The 23,058-nt window shown below is 37.6% G+C and overlaps 1 protein-coding gene across 9 annotated transcripts in view; it reads left to right on the forward strand.

Annotated features, from left to right (window-relative positions):
• TBC1D12 (TBC1 domain family member 12) overlaps positions 1–23,058 on the forward strand; it is a 133,792-nt gene that overhangs the window by 37,596 nt on the left and 73,138 nt on the right. For 6 of the 9 annotated variants that reach the window (XR_945637.3, NM_015188.2, XM_006717732.5 and 3 more), the window contains exon 2: positions 1,760–1,883. Coding sequence is in view for 5 of the 9 variants with exons in the window: in NM_015188.2 (NP_056003.1) it covers positions 1,760–1,883 (124 nt within the window). In the remaining 4 variants the exon portion in view is untranslated. Of the gene's footprint in view, positions 1–1,759; positions 1,884–4,121; positions 4,404–7,498; positions 7,535–11,421; positions 11,474–23,058 lie in introns of those variants that run through there. The other 3 variants (XM_017015998.3, XM_017015999.3, XM_047424907.1) reach the window with 3 other exon arrangements.

Genomic DNA, 23,058 nt, shown 5'->3' on the forward strand with positions numbered 1-23,058 from the left:
CACCTGAGGAAATAAGAGTGTTTATTTCCTTTTCCTTTCTTTTTTTTTTTGGAGGCAGGGTCTTGCTCTGTTGCCCAGGCTGCAGTATAGTGGCAGTATCATAGCTCACTGCATCCTTAACTCCTGGGCCCAAGTGATTGTCCCACCCTAGCCTCCCAAGTAGCAGGGACTACAAGGTGTGCACCACCATGCCTGGCTATTTTTTTTAATTTTTATTTTTTGTAGAAACAGGGTCTCACTACATTGCCCAGGCTGTTCTCAAACTCCTGGGCTCAAGTGATCCTTTTGCTTTGGCCTCCCAGTGTTGGGATTACAGGCATGAGCCACTATGCCTGGCCATTTCTTTTCTTTATTATTGATTAGCCTGCATTCTTTTGTAGGAGTCCCTTAACATTTTTCATTAAAAACTTATTTTCTATTATCACTAATCTGCACTTTTAAGATATATTGATACGGCATTTTGAGTATAGATAAATCTAATTATTTGGGACTTCAATTTGGAACTGTTTGTAATTAATCATATGTGTGAATTAAGAATTTTCTTACTGTTCACTTATAGCTTATGCAAAGGGTTTATATTGAGTTGAATTCATCAGTACCTTCCTAATTGGTTCATTGGGCCCTGGTCATGTTGTTTTGATGGGTACATATGTTGAGTATCATCCCTGCTTACATAAAAAAATAGGTACTTAATTTGGTTGGTTAGGGCATGGAGATAATAGGTAAAATCCTTAATACTTGTGCAGGGTGCACAATGACGCGGAGTGCAATGAGGCGGTCTCGGCTCACTGCAACCTCCGCCTCTAGGGTTCAAGCGATTCTCCTGCCTCAGCTTCCCGAGTAGCTGGAATTACAGGTGCCCACCACCACGCTTGGCTAATTTTTGTATTTTTAGTAGAGACAGGGTTTCACCATGTTGGTCGGGCTAGTCTTGAGCTGCTGACCTCGTGATCCGCCCGCCTCAACCTCCCAAAGTGCTGGGATTACAGGTGTGAGCCATCGCACCTGTCCTGGGTTTTGTTTTTTTTTTTCTAGATTTTTCAGTGAGAGATACTTTCTTCCTTGGTTATATATTGACTCTTTTGTAGTAAGCTTTCTTGTACATAGCTGGCCTAGGAAAGACAGGTTATGTATATATATTATAGCAATAGGGGATTAGTAGATATAATTTTATTATAAATAACAAATTATTACTGTAAATAATATTTATCCAAATATTGTATTACTTAATCCTTTAACTGTTATATAGATTCTTTTAAATGTTTTTGTTTTCAGAATTTTGGCTCTTATTGTTAAGTACATGTACAGTCAATTCTAGTATACTTTGTAGCTGATTTAGACAAATGTTTGCATCTTATTTATGGCTATCATTTTCCTTCCAATTTGTTTATCTTTTTATTATTTCTGTTGATGATTCTTCTAATACCTCTATATAAGCCAGATAGTCTGTATTTTACTTTAAGTTCTGGGACACAGGTGCAGAATGTGCAGGTTTGTTACACAGGTATACGTGTGCCATGGTGGTTTGCTGCCCCTATCAACCTGTTATCTAGGTTTTAATCCCTGCATGCATTAGGTATTAAGCTACATATTCTTAATTGAGCCTTATTATTCTAAGTAATAGTGGTATAAGTAGTAGAAATAGTTTTATTTAAAAGTATTTTTGTTTTTGCCTTGGGAACAAACTTATTATAAAATTACTGTTAAATAGCTCTCTGGTTACAAAAAACACAATTCATGTAACTTTTCTGTGTTTCAGAAACCTTTTTCCAAAAAGGACAAAGGAACTCAAATCAGTTGTCCATAGTGCTCCTGGTTGGAAATTATTTGGTAAAGTCCCTCCTAGAGAGAATCTTCAGAAAACATCCAAAATCATTCAGCAGGTAAGTACTGACATAGCCATGTAGTTTACCCTAGCTTTTCAAGCATTCTTCTTCTTCTTCTTCTTTTTTTTTTTTTTTTTAAACTAACCATATTCTATTTTTATTCTTATTTTTCTAGATACAGACTTTTGGGATTATAAGTATTTATAGGGACCTGCTAAATTTTCTAGAAAAACAGGTCATATATTTTCTGTTATCTTTTATAATTGTGAAAATTCTTCAAATAGAACGTAGACTTTTTTTTTTAACCAGTTATTCCTTGAATAGATTTTTTAAAAACTTAGCTAATCACTCTCACCACATACTGTTTGACTTCCAGTTGAAGTTGGTAGCATTTGTCAGTGGCACAGATGTTCTGAATATTGGTAGTTGTGAACTGATGAAATATTAAAAAGCAAAAACTGAGTAGATTATGAGGTTGAACTCCTTCCTTTGTCACTTTTCTGGTGTCCTCTCTAAACCAAGGACTTTGTAAATGAGAAGAGTTGGTACACAATCTGTTTCTAGTAATTTAGAAGCTATTTCTTCTGATATCTCTGTTAACATCTGTATTCTTGAGTTCTTAAGACTTTCTGATCTTATTTGACTTCTGAACTTTGGCTCTTCAGTACTAGATAAGTGAGAATGGAAAGCAGTGAGACTGGATCAATCTGCAGTGTTTTAAAGTTCAGAGAAGTTATTGCTCAGAAGAAGACATATAGTACATTTCCTATTTTTATCCTTCCCAATTGTAGTTTACCAAATTTAACACAGCTAGCATTTATAAAAACAATCACATGAAGGCAATAATCATCATTCAAATTGGAAAAGATATCTTCCTTTAAAGATTTAATAGTGTTCCTTTTATTGCTCAGAAGAAAAACTGGTTTTCCAAGTAATATGAGAAAATAATTTTAGATCTTTAAAAACATTATTGTAGTTAATTCTTTTTTTCTTCTTTTTGCATTTGAATAAAAGGTTTATTTTTTTCCTCAGGAAAAACAAAGTTAGGGACACACACTATGCTTTTAGAACCCATATTCTTTTGTAGTTGGTCCTAACCCTTCCTGGCACAGCTGTCAAAAGCACTAGCTGTTTAACCAGAACCAAGATGTTCACCCCCATAGAATGTACATGCACGGCACTAGAGGACTGCATGTTTGTCCCTGAGAGAAGCATAAGACAAACAGAAGTTGCTGAGATTGCCGTCTTTCTAAGCAGCCCCTCCCTTTCCCTTTTGAAGGATTTGCCTGAACTATGTAGCTAGTCAGTAGTTAGACCATGTGCCTCCTCCTCTCCCTGTAAACTAACTTAATTTCTTTTTTCAAGAGACTTGGTATTGCTATGTTGCCCAGGCTGTCTTCAAACTCCTGGGCTTAAATGATGATGCTCCTGCCTCAGCTTCCTGAGAAGCTGGGACTACAGGTATGTGCCACCACACCTGGCTTGTAGTTAATTTTCTTTACAAGTGATGAAAATAGTGAATAGTTTATCTATTGGTACTTAAAACTGTGTGCTGTGATCCCCAAGCCATGTGCTCAGACACTCTGGTGTGCTGCACTTAACACACTGGGGTACTGTGGGATATTTAAATTTTTTGAGGCAAACAGTGATATTCCACATCAGTTGGATATGGTGGAGACTGGTAATTAGAAGCAGTACACAGTTCCAACATTAAGTGCTACTACATACTTTTCTGTGGCATCATATCTTTGTGAATCTGTTTTTTCTGAGGTTGCTGTGATAAAAACCAGATACTGTAAAAAAGTCAGCGTGGGACTGGAAATGAGGGTTATGTCTAATCTGATTTTAAGGTTTGAGAAATTGTATACAATGCACAAAGCCACACATGCCCAAATTGGTAATTAATTGCGGTTATTTAAGAATGAGGCCGAGTATAGTGGCTCACGCCTGTAATCCCAGAACTTTGGAAGGCAGAAGCAGGCAAATCACTTGAGGTCAGGAGTTCAAGAGCAGCTTGGCCAACATGGTGAAACCCTGTCTCTACCAAAAATACAAAAAATTAGCCAGGCATGGTGGTGCATGCTTATAGTCCCAGCTACTTGGGGGATGAGACAGGAGAATCGCTTGAACCTGGAAGGTGGAGGTTGCAGTGAGCCAAGATCATGCCACTGCACTTCAGCCTGGGTGACAGAGCAAGACTCCATCTCAAGAAAAAAAAAAAAAAAGAATGAAAGAAAACATATTTCTTTTTTCAATTTATGTGTATTTTTTTTTTTTAGCAGTTACTAAGTGTTAGGAAATATATCCTTATTAAATTGTTTGGACATAGCTACTTATTAAACAGAATCATTAGGTATTTCTTTTGGCTTAAGAGTTACTGTGAAAAAAATCAGAGACACTAAAGGCATTGACCAAGAAAGGTTGGGAACCTCTGCTATTGTGACATCTTAAGTTTTAGCTCCTTTTTTTTTCTTTTGGTAAAGTCTGAAAGTAACGTCTCTCGTCTAGAATGTTTCAGAAGACCAAGTTCGCCCTCTAGAGGCAAAACGGTGGTCTTGCTACTGAAGGTTTATACAGGTATTTTTGATTTTTATGGTAGTTTAAATATGCATGCACATACATTTTTATATCTTTATATAAACTAATGTTCTATGATATTTTCTTACCATAAGTCTCTGAATAAATTACTGGTTGGATAATTATCTTTGCTGATACGCTGTATACCTTTAATCTGCTATTTTCATTTCGGAAAGCCAAGACCTCACATTCTCTTTTTTTTTTTTTTTTGAGACGGAGTCTTGCTCTGTCGCCCAGGCTGCAGTGCAGTGGCACGATCTCGGCTCACTGCAATCTCCGCCACCCGAGTTCACGCCGTTCTCCTGCCTCAGCCTCCCAAGTAGCTGGGACTACAGGCGCCCGCCGCCACGCCTGGCTAATTTTTTTGTATTTTTAGTAGAGACGGGGTTTCACCGTGTTAGCCAGGATGGTCTCAATCTCCTGACCTCGTGATCCGCCCGCCTCAGCCTCCCAAAGTGCTGGGATTACAGGCGTGAGCCACCGCGCCCGGCCCCTCACATTCCCTTTTTTATATATGTGGTATAAAAACTTGATGAGTGGGCCGGGAGCGGTGGCTCAAGCCTGTAATCCCAGCACTTTGGGAGGCTGTGGCGGGCAGATCACGAGGTCAGGAGATTGAGACCATCCTGACCAACATGGTGAAACCCCGTCTCTACTAAAAATATAAAAATTAGCTGGGCGTGGTAGCACGTGCCTGTAGTCCCAGCTACTTGGGAGGCTGAGGCAGGAGAGTCACTTGAACCCGGGAGGCGGAGGTTGCAGTGAGCCGACGTTGTGCCACTGCACTCCAGCCTGGCAAAAGAGCGAGAATACGTCTCAAAAAACAGCAACAACAGCAATAGAACTTCATGAGTGGTCAGGAAAAGAACAGCTCTTTTTCATTTGAGAAGAAGGGGTAGAGTTGAAATGTAGTTGCTGCCTCTGCCTCTGCGGCCCCTTCTCTGATCCTTTAACTGACGATTATTTCTCTGCGCCACTTATTTTAGTTTTCGAACTTTCCAGCTATGTCACAGCTATTAGTATATGTTTTAGTGCCCTTTTTGTGGTTATGTTTGTTCTCTGGGAGGCATTATGTATAGTCAAGTCATTTTTCTTCTGACCTTTTTCCATCTTCAAAATATGTATCAGCTGGGTGCGGTGGCTCACACCTTTAATTCTAGCACTTTGGGAGGCTGAGGCTGGTGTGTCACCTGAGGTCAGGAGTTCGAGACCCGTCTGGCCAACATGGTGAAACCTGGTCTCTACTAAAAATACAAAAATTAGCTAGGTGTGGTGGCAGGTGCCTATAATTCCAGCTGCTCGGAAGGCTGAGGCAGGAGAATCACTTGAGCCTGGGAGGCAGAGGTCGTAGTGAGCCAAGGTCGTGCCCTTGCACTCCAGCCTGGGTGACAAGATTAAAACTGTCTCAAAAAAAAAAAAAAGTATTACTTTTACCATGTGATGGAACATGTTTCTACCTCTTGCTTTCTACTATCTCTGCTTCAATGTGTGTCCTCTACTCCCTATTTGTCTAATTTTGCTGTCCTCTTCCCTGCAATTCTCATTTTTCAAAGTGGGCATGATTTTCTTTTTATAGTAATGGTAAATTTACAATTTTATGTCTCTGTTTTAACTTAGAAACATTTTTTCATAGCACTGATTTTTGAATTCTCTAGAAGATTATGAATATAAAACTGTATCTGAGTTCCTTTACCATGTATGCTTTCAGATAGATGTTATTACGTTTGGAATCAGAAACCGAAAGTGAATATAGTATCAGTAAAGCCATGAAGAATGTTAGGACACTTCTGTCATGTTTTGGGATAGGTTCTTAAGCTGTTAAGGCTTTAGGAAATGAAGAGGTAGCTGGTAATTTAGGTGTGAAAAACTGCTTGGAGAAATGATGCCTCACTTGCTTTTTGAATGGTAAAGCAGTAAGATTTATTAGGAGATTAGAGTAGTAGTATTTCATTGGCTAATAACTTTTTAAAGCAGGTCTTCAGAAAGAAGTTGTTGATTCTTTTAAAACATTTTTTGAAAAAAAATTTTTTTTTGGAATGTGGGGCTCACTATGTTGCCCAGGCTGGCCTCAAACTCCTGGGCTCAAGCAATCTTCCCGTCTTAGCCTCCTGAGTACAGGGCACTACAGGCGCACACCACTGTGTCCTGCAGAGTTGCCATATTTTTAAATATGTTATTAAACCAAACATTTCTTTAATGGAAAGACATCTGTAAGATTACACACTAAGTAAAGAAGAAAAGATTTAATTTACAAAGTTTTTGCTGGGTGCGGTGGCTCACATCTACAATCCCAGCACTTTGGGAGGCTGAGGCAGGTGGATCACTTGAGGTCAGGAGTTCCAGACTAGCCTGGCCAACCACATTTCTACTAAAAACACAAAAGAATTAATGGCCATAGTGGTGCTTACCTGTAATCTCATCTACTTGGGAGGCTGAGGCAGAAGAATCACTTGAACCTGGGAGGTAGAGGTTGCAGTGAGCCGAGGTCGTGCCACTGCACTCTAGCCTGAGCTGTTTCAAAAAAAAAAAAAAAAAAACCTTTTTTATGTATTATTAGTGACACAAATAACACATGATTATATTCTCTTTATAAAATATAAAACATAGAATGATATATCTCAGTTCACTTTCCTTTCACATTTTTAGGCCTTTTAAAATTCATTTTTTTGTGTGGAAAAAACACGTAATTATTTTTACATGTATATATTTTGCATATGTGGAATTATATGTTTTTTTCTATTTCAAGAATGAAATGTCACCATATTTAATTATATAGATGTGTATATATATACACACACACACATCTATATACAATTTAACTTTACATGTTTTGTACCTGTATCTTTTCAGAGATATTTGGGTTCATAAGTGAAAGAATCTGTTAAATATTTTAAAACTTTTTATTCCTGCAGTAACTTTTATTACAAGTCTAATCAATTTTAGTGCTTTCCATGTTAACAGTAAAGAAACATAAAAAACGTTTTAGGATTATAGCAAAATCAAACTGACTGAAGTTAACTTGATAATCAATTCCAAAATCACAAGAACATTCCTAGTATTACTTTTTGAGGATTATCACATGTGTTCTCTTGCAGATGTGAAATTCCGCTTGTGGCCTTTTGAACCAGTTGGTGAGCCGTGTTAAAAATTGAATCTGTTAATTATAAATAGTATTTCAGTTATATCGTAGTTCAGTTGACCTGAGTTTTTTGTTTTTTTTTCTAAATTAGTAGGTAAAGTTGGAATAGCTACATGGTTTGTCTTAGGAACTCGAAACTGCAAGTGAGAATGATTTCAAATGAACCATGTTATATGTAATTATGATACAATTGCATACTAGATTGAATATGCACTATTTATGCATATTTATGTCAAACTGATAATCTCTCAGTGAAACTTACCTTTTTTTGCTAGGCACTGCTTTTATATTGGCATCTTTAATGTGAAAACGAAATTGTAGTGCTTAGATGATCAAGTTTTTCATCAATACACATGCCATTTTCTGGTAAAGTTTAAGTTGAGTGGTTGAATCAGTTTCACATAAATTTTGACAGGCAAGGAAAAAAGTTGTAAGATACTGATTTCTTAATCAGAGAGTTTCAAATTGTCTAAAAGTAGAATAGATCACTTTCCTCAGTTAAGGCTTTGCTTTTGAAATTTTTTACTGCAGGAACAACATTATGGAAAGGACTAGCATACATGTGTTTTGTGAGCAGTAGTTAAATGTTAAATACATAACACTTAGAACATGTTGGGGCTTAATTTTCTGGTTTCTGATTTTATTGGTATGTGTAATAGAGTATTTGAAAAGTTTATTGGTTTTAATTATGCTTAAATATAGATATTCTTGCTGTAAAATTTGATTACTGCAAAAACAAAACAATTATTTCACTGATGTTAAATTGTAGGGGGACTGGACTGTGTTCAGAAGTTATTCTTTAAAAATTTTGTTTTTGAGACAGGATCTCACTCTGTTGCCCAGGCTAGAATGCAGTGGCACAATCATGGCTCACTGCAACCTTGACCTCCTGGGTTCAAACGATCCTCCCACCTTAGCCTCCCTGGTAGCTGAGACTACAGGTGCATGCCACCATGCCTGGCTAATTTTTTTATATTTTTAGTAGAGACAGGGTCTCACTGTGTTTCCCAGGCTGGTCTTGAACTCCTGGGCTTAAGTTATCCTCCTGCCTAGGCCTCCCAAAGTGTTGGGATTACAGGCATGTGCCACCATGCCTGGCCCGAAAAGTTTAAAAAATTGTTACACTCTTGCATGTTTTGTTTTCACCTTTATTTACCTCATCTGTTATCACCTTGAAAAGGTAGTGAATAACTACACTTCTAGTTGCGTGTGTGTTCTTTATTGATGGTTGATAAATTATTATGCATTTCTGTGTATAAATGGATTTCATAAAAAATAATTTGTGTGGTCTAAAGATTGGAGAGGTACTAGTAATATTTCTGGGCCTATGCTTCTGGGAGAAGGGAGAAGTATGATCCTCAAGAGAGAAGCCTAAATTATTAAAGAAAATTAAAAGAATAAAGATAAGTTTTCACAAATTAAACGGTAGAATTTGAGGGGACGTTTTTTCATTTTATCAGAAACAGAGACTTGGAAAGGGTTATGTTTGAAAATACTCTGAATATCTATATTTGATTACAGGAATACTGTTTTGCTTATCAACATTATATTAAAAGTTGTATTCATCCTGTCTTTATCTCAGACTTGTATATTATAGCAGGCTTCAGACTAAACAAACAAGATTGTGCTGGTAACTTTGCAAAAATGAAGTTTACTACGGTACTCTTATATGCCAGAAAGTGATGAAATGCTTTGCCCCGAGACTGCAATTGAGCTTGAAATATAGGATGGGTTTTTTGTCTCCTAATTCATAGATCTGGAATAAAATTTATAATCTATAAAGACATCATAATCAGCTAAACCCTGTCTATCCCAAGCATAATGGTTTCCTCAGCTCTTAGATCAAGTTGTGTAAGAGACTCTATCTTGGGCAGACATGGTCTTGAGATAGTAGAGGTGGGGAGTTTTTCTGCTTCTGAAACATTATTCTGGCTCTCTATAAATTGTTCACAGCATATAGAAATAGAAGGATTTACTCACTAATGTGGTTTAACACTAACCCCTTTAAGGGGAGTGTTCCTACTGTCCATTGAAACTCAAAGTCAAGTCAGTTAATGGATATATCAGGGTATATATCAGGCAATTTTGGCTCTCTCCTTGTCTTTGAAGGAGAAGCTTCTATGCTACTGTTCTTTCTTCTTGTCAGTCCCCATATTTTATTTATTTAGGCAGCTATTCAAAGATTCTTGCCACCCTCCCTTTGAATCCAGTCTGATCTTTTCACATATTTCCATCCTGGTACACTTCTTTGGTAAATCGCTTTCGCTACAAAACGCAAGGCATCAAAGTGTGGTAGAATACCATTCTGCTGCCAATTCAATGTGTGACCTGATATTAGCAAACTCTAGGCTTTTTCTATAGCAGAACTTGAAGGACAGAATTCTTGAATTGATCTTAGATTTCTTAAGATTTTCTGGCTTATTTCCATGAATTCTTTATTCAAAAAATACTATGTATAATGCAATAGGTATAATTTAGGTTCTTGGTGCATATATCTATATCTATATCTACATCCTAGCCTTTGAGTTATTTCAGTATAACTGCAGGGGACAAGGGGTAGAAGAGAATTTCATATGTAACTATAATATTGTGTTTTAAGTGCTTTAGTGGAGTTGTGACAGGGTATGAGAGTACAGTTGAAAGAGTGATTTATTTTTCTCAGAGATGACATGCAAATTGTGTTCCTAAGTGTATTAGTAGGAATTAAGCAGGCAGACAAGATGGGGAAAGCCATTCTAGATAGAGGAAATTGAAAAAGCAAACAGGAATGAATAGGATCTGTTTAGCTAATAGGACAGTATATCAAAGATACAGGGTAGATGGTGAAGGCTCATTAGCCACGAGGCTAGAGAATTGGGTTTTATCTAAAATACTTTTAAATGAGGTACTGAGATATCAAATTTATGTATTAGAAAAATAATTCTGGAGGGATTATAGGAGCTGAATTAGAAAACAGTAACGATCGAGCAATCCCGCTACTGGACATTTATCCATACAAAAGGAAATCAGTATATCAAGGAGACATATGCAACCCCATGTTTATTGCAGAACTATTCACAATAGCCAAGATATGGAATCAGCCTAGGTATCCCAACAACAGATGAATGGGTAAAGAAAATATGGTATATATACACAAGCATATACTATTCAGCCATAAAAAAGAATGAAATCTTGTCATTTGTGGCAACATGAGTGGAACTGGAGGACATTATGTTAAGTGAAATAAGCCAGAAATGGAAAGTTAAACACCACAAGTTCTCACTTACATGTAGGACCCAAAAAAGAAAGTTGATCTCATAGGAGTAAAAAATAGAACAGAGGATACTAAAGGCTGGAAAGGGTAGGAGGAAGGTGGTGGTGGGGAGTGCATGTTAGGGAGAGATTTGTTAAAGGATAAAAAATTATAGCTAGATAGAAGGAATAAGTTCTAGTGTTTCATACCACTGTTGAATGACCATAGTTACCAATAATATACAGTTTTAAATAGCAAGAAGGAGGATATTGAATATTCCCAACACAAAGAAATGATACATGTTTGAGATGATGGCTATGGTAATTACCCTGGTCTGATCACAATACATTATATGTATCAAAACATCACTATGTATCCCATAAGTATGTAAAATTATTATATGTAAATTAAACAAAAAATCTTAAAAAGGTTATAAAAAACAGTGGGTTTGAGGACAAGTTTATTAAGATTTTTTAAATAATAATCTATTCTGATTTGCAAACACATTGGATGATTAGAACTACCTAGAGAATGTGTTAAGAATACATTGGCTCCATACATTGAGTTCTTAATGTCAATTTTGTGTGTTTTTAATTCTTGTGTTCCTAGCTGGTTCTTTTTCAAATCTGCTGTATCACTTTTTACAGTTTACTGTTCCCTGCTGAAATTTCAAGCTTGGCCTTTATCTCCTTGAATATAGTAAGTAAAGCTGTTTCATATGTCTGGAAATTCCAGCATCTGGAACTCCTATAGGTCTGCTTATATCAAATATTATTTCTGCTAGTTTTTGCTAACAGGTGATATCTTATCTCTTTGTGTGCCCAGTTACCTTTGCTTGAGTACTGGATGTGAAAACATATAATATTTGAGACATCATGTATGGAAGACAGTTTGAAGGCTAACATGATGTCATCCTTCAGAGATTTGATGAATGTTTCTTGGGCATTATATGTGTAGCTTTTGGTCCATTCATGTGAGGCAAAACTCAAGTGCCAACTCTTTTGATCATTTTTTTAAATTATTAAGTTGTATAAGTTAGTTTGTGGTTGTTAAACCAACTTTGCATTCCAGGAATAAACTATGATCAGTCACAGTTATTATTCACCTTGCATATTTCTGGATTAGATCTGCATATATATATTTAAATATATGTATTTAAATGCATATATATTTAAATATATGTATTTAAATTCATATATATTTAAATATATGTATTTAAATGTAAAAACTATGGCAGTTGTAGGTTCATAGCAGATTTGAGGAGAAAGTACAGAGAGTTCCATATAACTCCTGTCCCCACATACACACAACCTCCTTCACTGTCAGCATCCTGCACCACAGTGGATCATTTTTTACAACCAATGAACTTACATTGACACACAGTCACTCAAAGTCCATAGTTTACAGTATCATTCATTCCCAGTGTTGTACATTTTATGGCTTTGGACAAATGTATAATGACGTGTATCTACCATTGTAGTATTACACAGCATAGTTTCACTACACTAAAAATTGTGCTGTGTGTATTCATTCTTCCCTCCTCCAATCCCCTGGAAACCACAGATCTTTTTCTTGTCTCCATAGTTTTGCCTTTTCCAGACTATTATGTAATTGGAACCAGACAGTACTTAGCTGTTTCAGGTTGGTTTCTTTCACTTAGTAATATACATTTATATTTCTTCCATGCCTTTCCATGGCTTGATAGCTCATTTCTTTTTAGTGCTGAATAATATTCTATTGTCTGGGAACACCACAGTTTATTTACCCATTCACCTACTGAAGGACGTCTTAGTTGCTTCCAAGTTTTGGCTGTTGTTAATAAGGCTTCTCTAGACTTCTGCGTGCAATTTTTTGTGTGGTTTTATGTTTTCAGTTCATTTTGGTAAATACCAAAGGAAGTGATTACTGGATCATAAGAATATGTTTAGTTTTGCAGGAAGGTAGCAAGATATCTTCCAAAGTGGTTGTACCATTGTGCATTTCCAGCAGCATTGAATGAGAGTTCCTCTTGTGCCACATTTTCTCCAGTATTTGGTGCTGTCAGTGTTTTGAATTTTGGCCATTCTCATAGCTGTGTGGTGGTGTCTCATTGTCTTAATTTGCAGTTCCCTAATGACATATGATGTTGAACATCTCTTCACATGCTTACTTGCCATCTGTATATCTTCTCTGATGATATACAGGTCTTTTGCTCATGTTAAAATCAGATTGTTCAATTTCTTATTGTTGAGTTTTAAGACTTCTTTGTATATTTTGGATAACAGTCCTTTGTCAGGCATGCCTTTGGCAAATACCTTCTTTCTATGGCTTGTCTTTTCACAGAGCAGAAGTTTTAAATTTCAGTGAACTCCAGCTGATCAATTATAGTAGTCTCCCCTTATCACAGTTTCACTTTCCACAGTTTTGGTTATCCATGGTCAGCTGCAGTCTGAAAATATTAAAATAAAAATAAAAAATAAAAATATTTTGTGTGCATGTATGTCTGTGTGTGTGCATATGTGAGTGTGTGAGAGAACACATTCATATAACTTTTATTATAGAATTTTGTTATAATTGCTCTATTTTATTATTGTTAATGTCTTACTGTGTCTAATTTATAAATTTATAAAGTTTATAAAACATTATCATATGTGTAGGAAAAAAGCACATAGAGGGTTCAGTATCAGGCATCCACTGGGGATCTTAGAACATATTTCCCAAGGATAAGGGGGGACTACTGTATTTTACTTTTTATTTTTTTGTAGATCATGCCTTTAGTGTTGATCTAAAAAGTCATCACCATACTCAAGGCCATCTAAATTTTCTGTGTTATCTTCTAGGAGTTATATAGTTTTGTACTTTACATTTAGGTCTGTAAACCATTTTGAGTTAATTTTTGTGATGGATGTAAGGTCTGTATGTAGATTGATTTTTTTTTCATGTCGATGTCCAGTTGTTCCAGTACCATTTGTTGAAAAGCCTATCTTTGCTCCATTGTATTGCCTTTGCTCCTTTGTCAAAGATCAGTTGACTATATTTATGTGGGCTTATTTCTGGGATCTCTGTTCTGTTCCATTGATCTATTTGTCTGTTCTTTCACCAATGCCACACTGTCTTGATTATTGTAGCCTTCTGGTAAGTCTTGAATTCGAGTAGTGTCAACCCTCTGACTTTGTCTTTCTTCAATATTGAATTGGCTATTCTGGGTCTTTTGTCTCTCCATGTAACTTTAGACTCAGTTTATCATTCCCAAAATAATTTGCTGAGATTTTGATTGGGATTGTGTTGAATCTATAGATCAAGTTGAGAAAAGCTGACATCTAAATGACATTGAGTCTTCTTTTCTTTTGAGACAGAGTTTTGCTCTTGTTGCCCAGGCTGGAGTGCAGTGGCGCCACCACAACCTCCACCTCCCAGGTTCGAGCGATTCTCCTGCCTCAGCCTCCTGAGTAGCTGGGATTATAGGCATGTGCCACCATGCCGGGCTAATTTTCTATTTTTAGTAGAGACAGGGTTTCTCCATGTTTGTCAGGCTGGTCTTGAACTCCTGACCTCAGGTTATCCACCCGCCTCGGCCTCCCAAAGTGCTGAGATTACAGGCGTGAGCCACTGCGCCCGGCGAGTCTTCTTAATCATAAACATGGAATATCTCTTCATTTGTTTTGTTCTTCTTTGTTATCTTTCATTAGAGTTTTGTACTTTTCCTCATACGGATCTTGCATATGTTTTGTTACACTTATACCTAAGTATTTCATTTTTATGGTAATGTGTTTTACATTTTAAATTTTACTTGTTCATTGCTGTTATATTGTAAGAAAGTGATTGACTTTTGTACATTAGCCTTCTGTCTTGTAAACTTGCTGTTATTGCTTATTAGTTCCAGAAGTTTTTCTGTTGATTTTTTTGGACTTTCTCCATAGACAATCATGTCATCTGTAAACAAAGACAATTTTATTTCTTCTTTCCCAATTAGTGTAACTTTTATTTCCTTTTTCTATTGCATTAACTAGGACTTCCAGAACAATGTTGAGAAGCAGTGGTGAGCGGGGATATCCTCGCCTTGTTCCTGACCTTAGAGAGACAGCTTCTAGTTTCTCACCATTAAGTATGATGTTAGCTATGGGTTTTTTGTAGATGTTCTTTATCAAGTTGAGGAAGTTCCCCTCTATTCCTAGTTTACTGAGAGGTTTTCTCATGAATGGTGTTGGATGTTGTCAAATGCTTTTCCAACATCTATTGATGTTTTATCATATGATTTTTGTTCTTTAGCCTCTTGATGCAATTGATTAAATTAATTGATTTTTTTTTTTTAAACATTGAGCCAGTTGTGCATACCTAGGATAAATCCCACTTGGTCATGGTATAGAATTCTTTTTATACATTGTTGGATTAGATTTGCTAATATTTTCTTGAGGAATTTTTGCATTTATGTTTATAAGAGATATTGGTCTGTACGTTTCTTTTTTAGTAATGCCTTTGTCTAGTTTTGGTATTAGAGTAATGCTGGCTTCAGATAATGAGTGAGGAAGTATTTCCTCTCCATCTGTCTTGTGGAAGAGATTATAGATAATTGATACAATTTCTTCCTTAAATGTTTGGTAGAATTCATCAGTGAACCCATCTGGGTCTGTGCTTTCTGTTTTGGAAGATTATTAATTATTGATTCAGTTTCTTCTTATGTTAGTTTGGGTATATTTCAAGGAATTGGTTCATTTCATTCAGGTTATCAAAATTATGGGCATAGAATTGTTCGTAATAAGCCAGGTGTGGTGGCTCAGGCCTGTAATCCCAGCACTTTGGGAGGCCAAGGCAGGTGGATCACTTGAGGTTGGGAGTTCGAGACCAGCCTGGCCGACGTGGTGAAATCCTGTCTGCACTAAAAATATTAGCTGTACTAAAAATATTAATTTTCAAAAAAATTAGCTGGACATGGTGGCATGCGCCTGTAGTCCCAACTCCTTGGGAGACTGAGGCAGGAGACTCGCTTGAACTCGGGAAGCAGAGGTTCCAGTGAGCCAGGATGGCACCTGGACAACAGAGCTTAAGACTCCATCTCAAAAAAGAAAAAAAAAAAGAATTGTTCATAATACTTATTCATTATCCTTTTTAATGTCCTTGGGCTCTGTAGTGATGTCTCTACTTTCATTTCTGATATTAGTAATTTGTGTCTTTTTTGTTTTCTCTTAGTTATCATGGCAAGAGGATTATAAATTTTATTGATCTTTTTAAAGAACTGTTAGCTTTTGGTTTTGTTGATTTTTCTCTACTGACTTCCTGTTTTCAATTTTATTGATTCCTGCTCTTTATTTTTTTCTGCTTACTTTGTAATTAATTTGCTTGAATTTTTCTTGTTTCTTAAGGTGGAAGCTTAGATGATTGATTTTAGATCTTTCTTCTTTTCTCATGTATTCATTCAAAGCAATACTTTTGCCTCTAATACTGTATTTGCTGCATCTCACAAATTTTCATAAGTTGTATTTTCATTTTCATATAGTTAAAAATATTTTAAAATTACCCTTAAGATTTCTTCTTTGACACATGTGTTATTTAGAAGTGTGTTGTTTAATCTCCAAGTATTTGGGGATTTTTCAGCTATCTATCTCTGTCAATTTCTAGTTTAATTTAATTGAGATCTGAGAGCAGACATTTTATGATTTCTGTTATTTTAAACTTGTTAAGGTGTAGTTTATGACCTAGAATGTAGTCTGTATTGGTGAATGTTCCATGTTAGCTTGAGAAGAATGTTTCCTCTGCTGTTGTTGGATGCGGTAGTCTACAGATGTCAATTACATCCAGTTGACTGATGGTACTGTTGTTAAGCTATGTCCTTACTGATTTTCTGACTGCTGGATCTGTCCATTTCTGATAGAGGCATTAAAGTTTTCCAGTGTAATAGTAGATTCATCTATTACTCCTTGTAGTTCTATCCGTTTTTGCCTCATGTATCTTGACCACTCTGTTTTTAGTTGCATATATGATAAGGATTTTTGTGTCTTCTTGGATTACTAACCCCTTTATTATGTAATGCCCCTCTTTATTCCTGATAACTTTCCTTGCTCCGAAGTCTGCTCTGTCTGAGATTACTATAGCTACTCTTGTTATCTTTGATTAGCATTGGCATGGTATATCTTTCTCCATCCCTTTTTAAAAAATCTATATGTGCCTTTATACTTAAAGTGGGGTTTTTAAAATTTTAACCTAATTTAATTTAATTTTACTTTAAGTTCCAGGATACATGTGCTGACCTTGCAGGTTTGTTACGTAGGTATGCATGTGCCATGGTTGTTTGCTGCACCTATCAACCTGTCATTTATGTTTTAAGCCCCACATGCATTAGGTATTTGTCCTAATGCTCTCCCTCCCCTTGTCTCCCCACCCCCTGACAGGCCCCTGTGTGTGTTGTTCTTCTCCCTGTATCCATGTGTTCTCATTGTTCAACTTAAAGTGGGTTTTTTTGTAGGCAACACATGGCTGGGTCTTCTTTTGTAATACACTTTGGCAGTCTCTGTTTCTTCATTTGTTTGTTTGTTTTGTTTTATTTTTGAGACAGAATCTTGCTCTGTTGCCTAGGCTGGAATGCAGTGGTGTAATCATAGCTCACTGCATCCTCAAACTCTTGGCCTCAAATGGTCCTCCTGCTATGGCCTCCAAAAGTGCTGGGATTACAGGCATGAGCCACCATGCTTGGCCTCTCTGTGTTTTAATTGGTGCATTTAGACCATTGATATTTAAAGTGATTATTGATACAGTTGGATTATTATCTCTCATTTCTGTTACTGTTTGTTAGTTGTTGCCTTTATAATTTGTTTCCAGTTTTGTCTTCCACATCTTTTCAGTCTTTAGTTTTAATTGAACATCTTATATGATTCCATTTTCTCCCATTTCTTAGCATATCAGTTATACTTCTTTTTTTAAAACTTTTTTTAGTGGTTGTCCTGGAGTTTGCAGTATGTATTTATAGCTAAGCCAACTCCACTTTCAGGCAACACTATACCTGAAAGTGGAGTTTCATGTGTAATGCAAATACCTTATAACAACAAAACATTCCTAATTCCTTCTGCCCATCCCTTTTATTACTGCCATTCGTTTTACTCACATATGAGCATATGCACACATGAGCATACATAATTGAACACATTATTGATGTTATTATTTTGAGTAAACTGTTGCTATGGTTTGATTGTTTATCCCCTCTAAAATTTATGGTGAAAGGCAATCCCCACTGTGGCAATATTGAGAGAGGGGGCCTTTAAGAGGTGATTAATTCTTTAAGAGGATTAATCTATTTTATAGGATTAATCCATTAATGGATTAATGGATTATTGGATTATCATAGGAATGGGCCTAGTGACTTTATAAGAAGAGGAAAGCAAGATCTGAGCTAGCATGCTTAGCCCCTCACCGCATGATGCTCTGCACCACCTCAGGATTCTATAGAGCGTCCCCATCAGCAAGAGGGCTCTCATTAGATGTAGCCCCTTGACCTTGTTCCTCTCATCCTCTGTAACTGTAAGAAATAAATTCTTTTGAATTTTAGGTATTCTGTTATAAGCAACAGAAAATAGACTAAGAAAACTTTTTTTCTGTTAGATCAATTAAGAATAAGAAAAATTCTTGACCAGCCTGACCAACATGGTGAAACTGTGTCTGGAATTGGTGGGTTCTTGGTCTCGCTGAGTTCAAGAATGAAGCCACGGACCCACGTGGTGAGTGTTACAGTTCTTAAAGATGGTGTGTCCGGAATTTGCTCCTTCTGATGTTTGGATGTGTCTGAGTTTCTTCCTTTTGGTGGGTTCGCGGTCTCGCTGGCTTCAGGGGTGAAGCTGTAGACCTTCATGGTGAGTGTTATAGCTCTTAAAGGTGGTGCGTCTGGAGTTGTTCGTTCCTTCCATCTGGAGTTGTTCGTACCTTCCATCTGGAGTTGTTCGTCCCTCCCCATGGGTTCATGGTCTTGCTGCCTTCAGGAGTGAAGCTGCAGACCTTTGCAGTGAGTGTTACAGCTCATAAAGGCAGCGCAGACCCAAAGAATGAGCAGCAGCAAGATTTATTGCGAAGAGTGAAAAAACAAAGCTTCCACAGCGTGGAAGGGGACCCAAGCGGGTTGGCGTTGTTGGCTCAGGTGGCCTGCTTTTATTTCTTTATCTGGCCCCACCCGCAGCCTACTGATTGGTCCATTTTACAGAGAGCTGATTGGTCCATTTTACAGAGAGCTGATTGGTCCATTTTACAGAGAGCTGATTGGTCCATTTTGACAGGGTGCTGATTGGTGCATTTACAAACCTTGAGCTAGACACAGAGTGCTGATTGGTGCATTTACAATCCTTTAGCTAGACACAAAAGTTCGCCAAGTCCCCACTAGATTAACTAGACACAGAGCAGTGATTGGTGCATTTACAAACCTTGAACTAGACACAAGGTGCTGATTGGTGCATTTACAAACCCTGAGCTAGACACAGGGTGCTGATTGGTGCATTTACAAACCTTTAGCTAGACATAAAAGTTCTCCAAGTCCCCACCCGACTCAAGAGCCCAGCTGGCTTCGCCTAGCGGATCCTGTGCTGGGGCTGCGGGTGGAGCTGCCCGCCAGTACCGCGCTGTGCGCCCGCATTCCTCAGCCCTTGGATGGTAGATGGGACCTTGCGCCATGGAGCAGGCGGCGGTGCCCGTCGGGGAGGCTCGGGCCGCGCAGGAGCCCACCAGGGGGGTTGGGGGGAGCTCGGGCATGGCAGACTGCAGGTCCTGAGCCCTGCCCCGTGGGGAGGTGGCTGAGGCCCAGCGAGAATTTGAGTGCGGCACGGGCAGGCTGGCAGTGCTGGGGGACCCGGCACACCCTCTGCAGCTGCTGGCCTGGGTGCTAAGCCCCTCACTGCCCGGGGCCAGTGGCACCGGCCAGCAGCTCCAAGTGTGGGGCTTGCCGAGCCCGCACCCACCCGGAACTTGCACTGGCCCGTGAGTGCCGCACGCAGCCACGGTTCCTGCCTGCACCTCTCACTCCACACCTCCTGGCAAGTAGAGGGAGCCAGCTCTGGCCTCAGCCTGCCCAGAGAGGGGCTCCCACAGTGCAGCAGTGGGCTGAAGGGCTTCTCAAGCGCAGCCAGAGCGGACACAGAGGCTGAGGAGGCACCGAGAGTGAGCAAGGGCTGCCAGCACGTTGTCATCTCTCAAGTCCCTGTCTCTACTAAAAATACAAAAATTAGCTGGGCATGGTGGCACATGCCTGTAATCCCAGCTACTTGGGATGCTGAGGCAGGAGAATCGCTTGAACCTGGGAGGCGGAAGTTGAGGTGAGCTGAGATCATGAGATCACGCCACTGCACTCCAGCGTGGGTGACAGAACAAGATTCCATCTCAAAAAAAAGAAAAAAGAAAAATATCTTCTTTCAGAAGAAATTCTTTTAACATTTTTTGCAAGGCAAGTCTCCTGGCAAACAAATGCCTTAATAATTGTCCCAGAAAGTTTTTTTCCTTCACTTTTGAAGGATAACTTTGTAGGGTACAGAATTCTAGGTTTGCAATTTTTTTTCTCTTGGCACTTTAAATATTTCACTCCACTCTTTACTTGCATTTCTGAGGATAAGTTCATATCTTTGCTCCTATAGGTAGCATGTTTTTACCTCTGCTGCCTTTGAAGATTTTTTGATTTTATTTTCTGAAATTTGAATATGATATGGCTAGAAGTAGTTTTTTTTTTTTTTAATGTTTATCCTATTTGATGTTCTCTGAGCTTCCTGGATCTTTGATTTGGTGTTGACATTAATTTGGGGGAAATTCTCAGTCCATATTGCTTTAGATATTTCTTCTTCCTTCTCTCTGTCTCTCTTTTCCTCCCCTCTCTCTTGTCCGTTATAGTTTTCCCAGTGTTCTTGGATATTCTGTACTTTTTTTCCCAGTCTTTTTTCTCTTTGCTTTTCAGTTTTGAAAGTTCTGTTGTCATATCCTCAAGTTCAGAGATTCTGTCTCAGCCATGTCCAATTTACTAATCAGCCCATCAAAGGAATTCTTTATTTCTGTTCCAGTTTTTTTAATCTTTAGTATTTCTTTTTGATTATTTCTTAAATTTTTCATCTCTTACATTATTCTTGCATGTTGTCTACTTTTTCCATTGAAGCCTTTAGTGCATAGTTCTCTTTAAAACGAATTCTGGTTTGATAATTCCAACATTCCTATCATATCTGACTCTGGTTCTAATGCTTGTTTAATCTCTTTAGACTGTGGTTTTTACCATTTAGTATGCCATATAAGTTTTGCTGAAAGGTAGATATAAATGTGGTGGGTAAAAGGAACTGGTAAATAGGACTTTAGTAAGGTAGTGGTAAGGTGTGGGAAAAGGGGAAGCATTCTATAGTCCTATGATTGGGTCTTAATCTTTTGGTGAACCTGTACCTCTGAATGGTACGCTTCATAGTGCTTCTCAGTTTTGTTTTTTTTCCCCCTTTGACAGGACAGAATGGACAGAGGGAGCTGGAGTTGTGTATTTCCCTTCCCCTAGTTAGGTTAGAGCAGGTTAGGCTCTGGTAAAAAAGTTTCTCCTGAGGGCAGACCTTGTTAAGAACAGAATGTAAAGGACTATTTCAAAATAATTACTTTTCCTCTCCTGCTGAAAGCACAAGGGGATTTCTTCCCCACAGTACTCAGTCTGAGGACCTGGTAGAGTTCCTGGAAATAAAACTCACGAAAGTGTATGCAACTGGGTCCTCCTGGAGTTTTGTTTAATTTTTAATTTTTTTTCCTTTTTTAAATAGCTGCCTACCCCCTGGAGTTCTAACACTCAGACTTGTCCACACTCAGCCTCTATCAGTTTGTCAATTACAGTTTATGTTTTCCTACTGCAGCACTGCCAGAGGTTTCAGCTTCTGGGTTTCTGCTCTGCTAAGTTGTGATTCTTCTTTATGTGTTTGTTTCTGCAGTTTTGGGGCAGTGGTTTGCTCTGTGGCTTCATGTCTTTGGTGAATCTAAGAATAATTATTAATTTTTCAGTTTGCTTAGGTTTTTACTTGTTAGGATGCAGTGGCAACTTCTTGAACTCCTGGCCTCAAAAGATCCTCCCACCTTGACCCCCACAAAATGTTGGGATTATAGGCGTGAGCCACCACACCTGTCCTGGAATGGCAATTTCTAAGCTGTGTACAGGCTGGAGTGGAAATCCAGAAGTCAGTTTGCTAATACTATGTTAGGGATTTTTGCTTCTATATTCATGAGGGATGTCAGTCTATAATTTTCTTTTAATGCTTTTGTCAGATTCTGGTATTGGGATAATACAATCATCATTTAGTAAGTTGAGGATTGTTTCTATTTTCTGAAATTATTTGTGTAGAATTGGTGTTATTTCTTCCTTGAATGTTTGACAGAATTTACCAGTGAAATAATTTAAGCCAAGGTTTCTCAACCTCAGCACTTTTGACATTTTAGGTCATGTAAATATTACATAGTACATATTTACATGACCTAAATGTAAATATTGTGAGGGGCTTTCCTGTGAAATACAGGATATTTAGTAGTACCCCTGGCCTCTAGGAATTCCAGTAGTAATCCCCTTTCACTTCTCATTGTGACAACTGAAATGTCTTAGACATTGTCAGATGTCCTTAAGGGGGCAAAGTCAACCCCAGTTGAGAATTACTGATCTAAGTGAAGTGTGGAAGTTTTTTGTTGTTGAGCATATTTTTAGTTATAAATTTAATGTTTTTCTTGACATCAGCCTGGGCTTTTCAAGTTTTCTGTTTCTTCTTGAGTCAGTTTTGGTAACATGTCTTTCAACAGAGTTTTATATGTCATCTATATTGTTGGATTTATTGCAATTAAATTATTCATATTTTCTTATCTTTTTAATGTCTGCTAGGTATGTGATAGAAATGTGGATAGTGATGATCTCTCTTGCATTCCTGATTTTGGCAATTTTTATCTTCTCTTTTTCATTCATCAGTTTTACTAGGAGTTTATCAATTTTATTATGTTTTAAAAGAAACACCTTTTGTTTCACTGATTTTCACTTCTTGTTTTTTGTGTGTTCTGTTCATTGATTTCTGTTCTTTATTATTTACTATCCACTTGCTTTGGATGTATTTTGCTTTTTTTCTAGTTTTCTAAGGTGGATCATTCATTTTAGACCTTTTATCTTTTTAATGTATTTTAAGCTACAAATTTTCCTCTAACTGTGCTTTAGCTGCATTCCATAAATTTCAGTGTTTTCATTTTCAATCAATGAAAGATACTTTTCCTTTTCTTTTGTTACTGCCTTTACTTATGATTATGTAGAGGTATGTTATTTTACTTTTAAAATATCTTGGGATTTTACGGATATGTTT

This window comes from Homo sapiens, chromosome 10, assembly GCF_000001405.40.
Source record: "Homo sapiens chromosome 10, GRCh38.p14 Primary Assembly".
Lineage (NCBI taxonomy): Eukaryota > Metazoa > Chordata > Mammalia > Primates > Hominidae > Homo > Homo sapiens.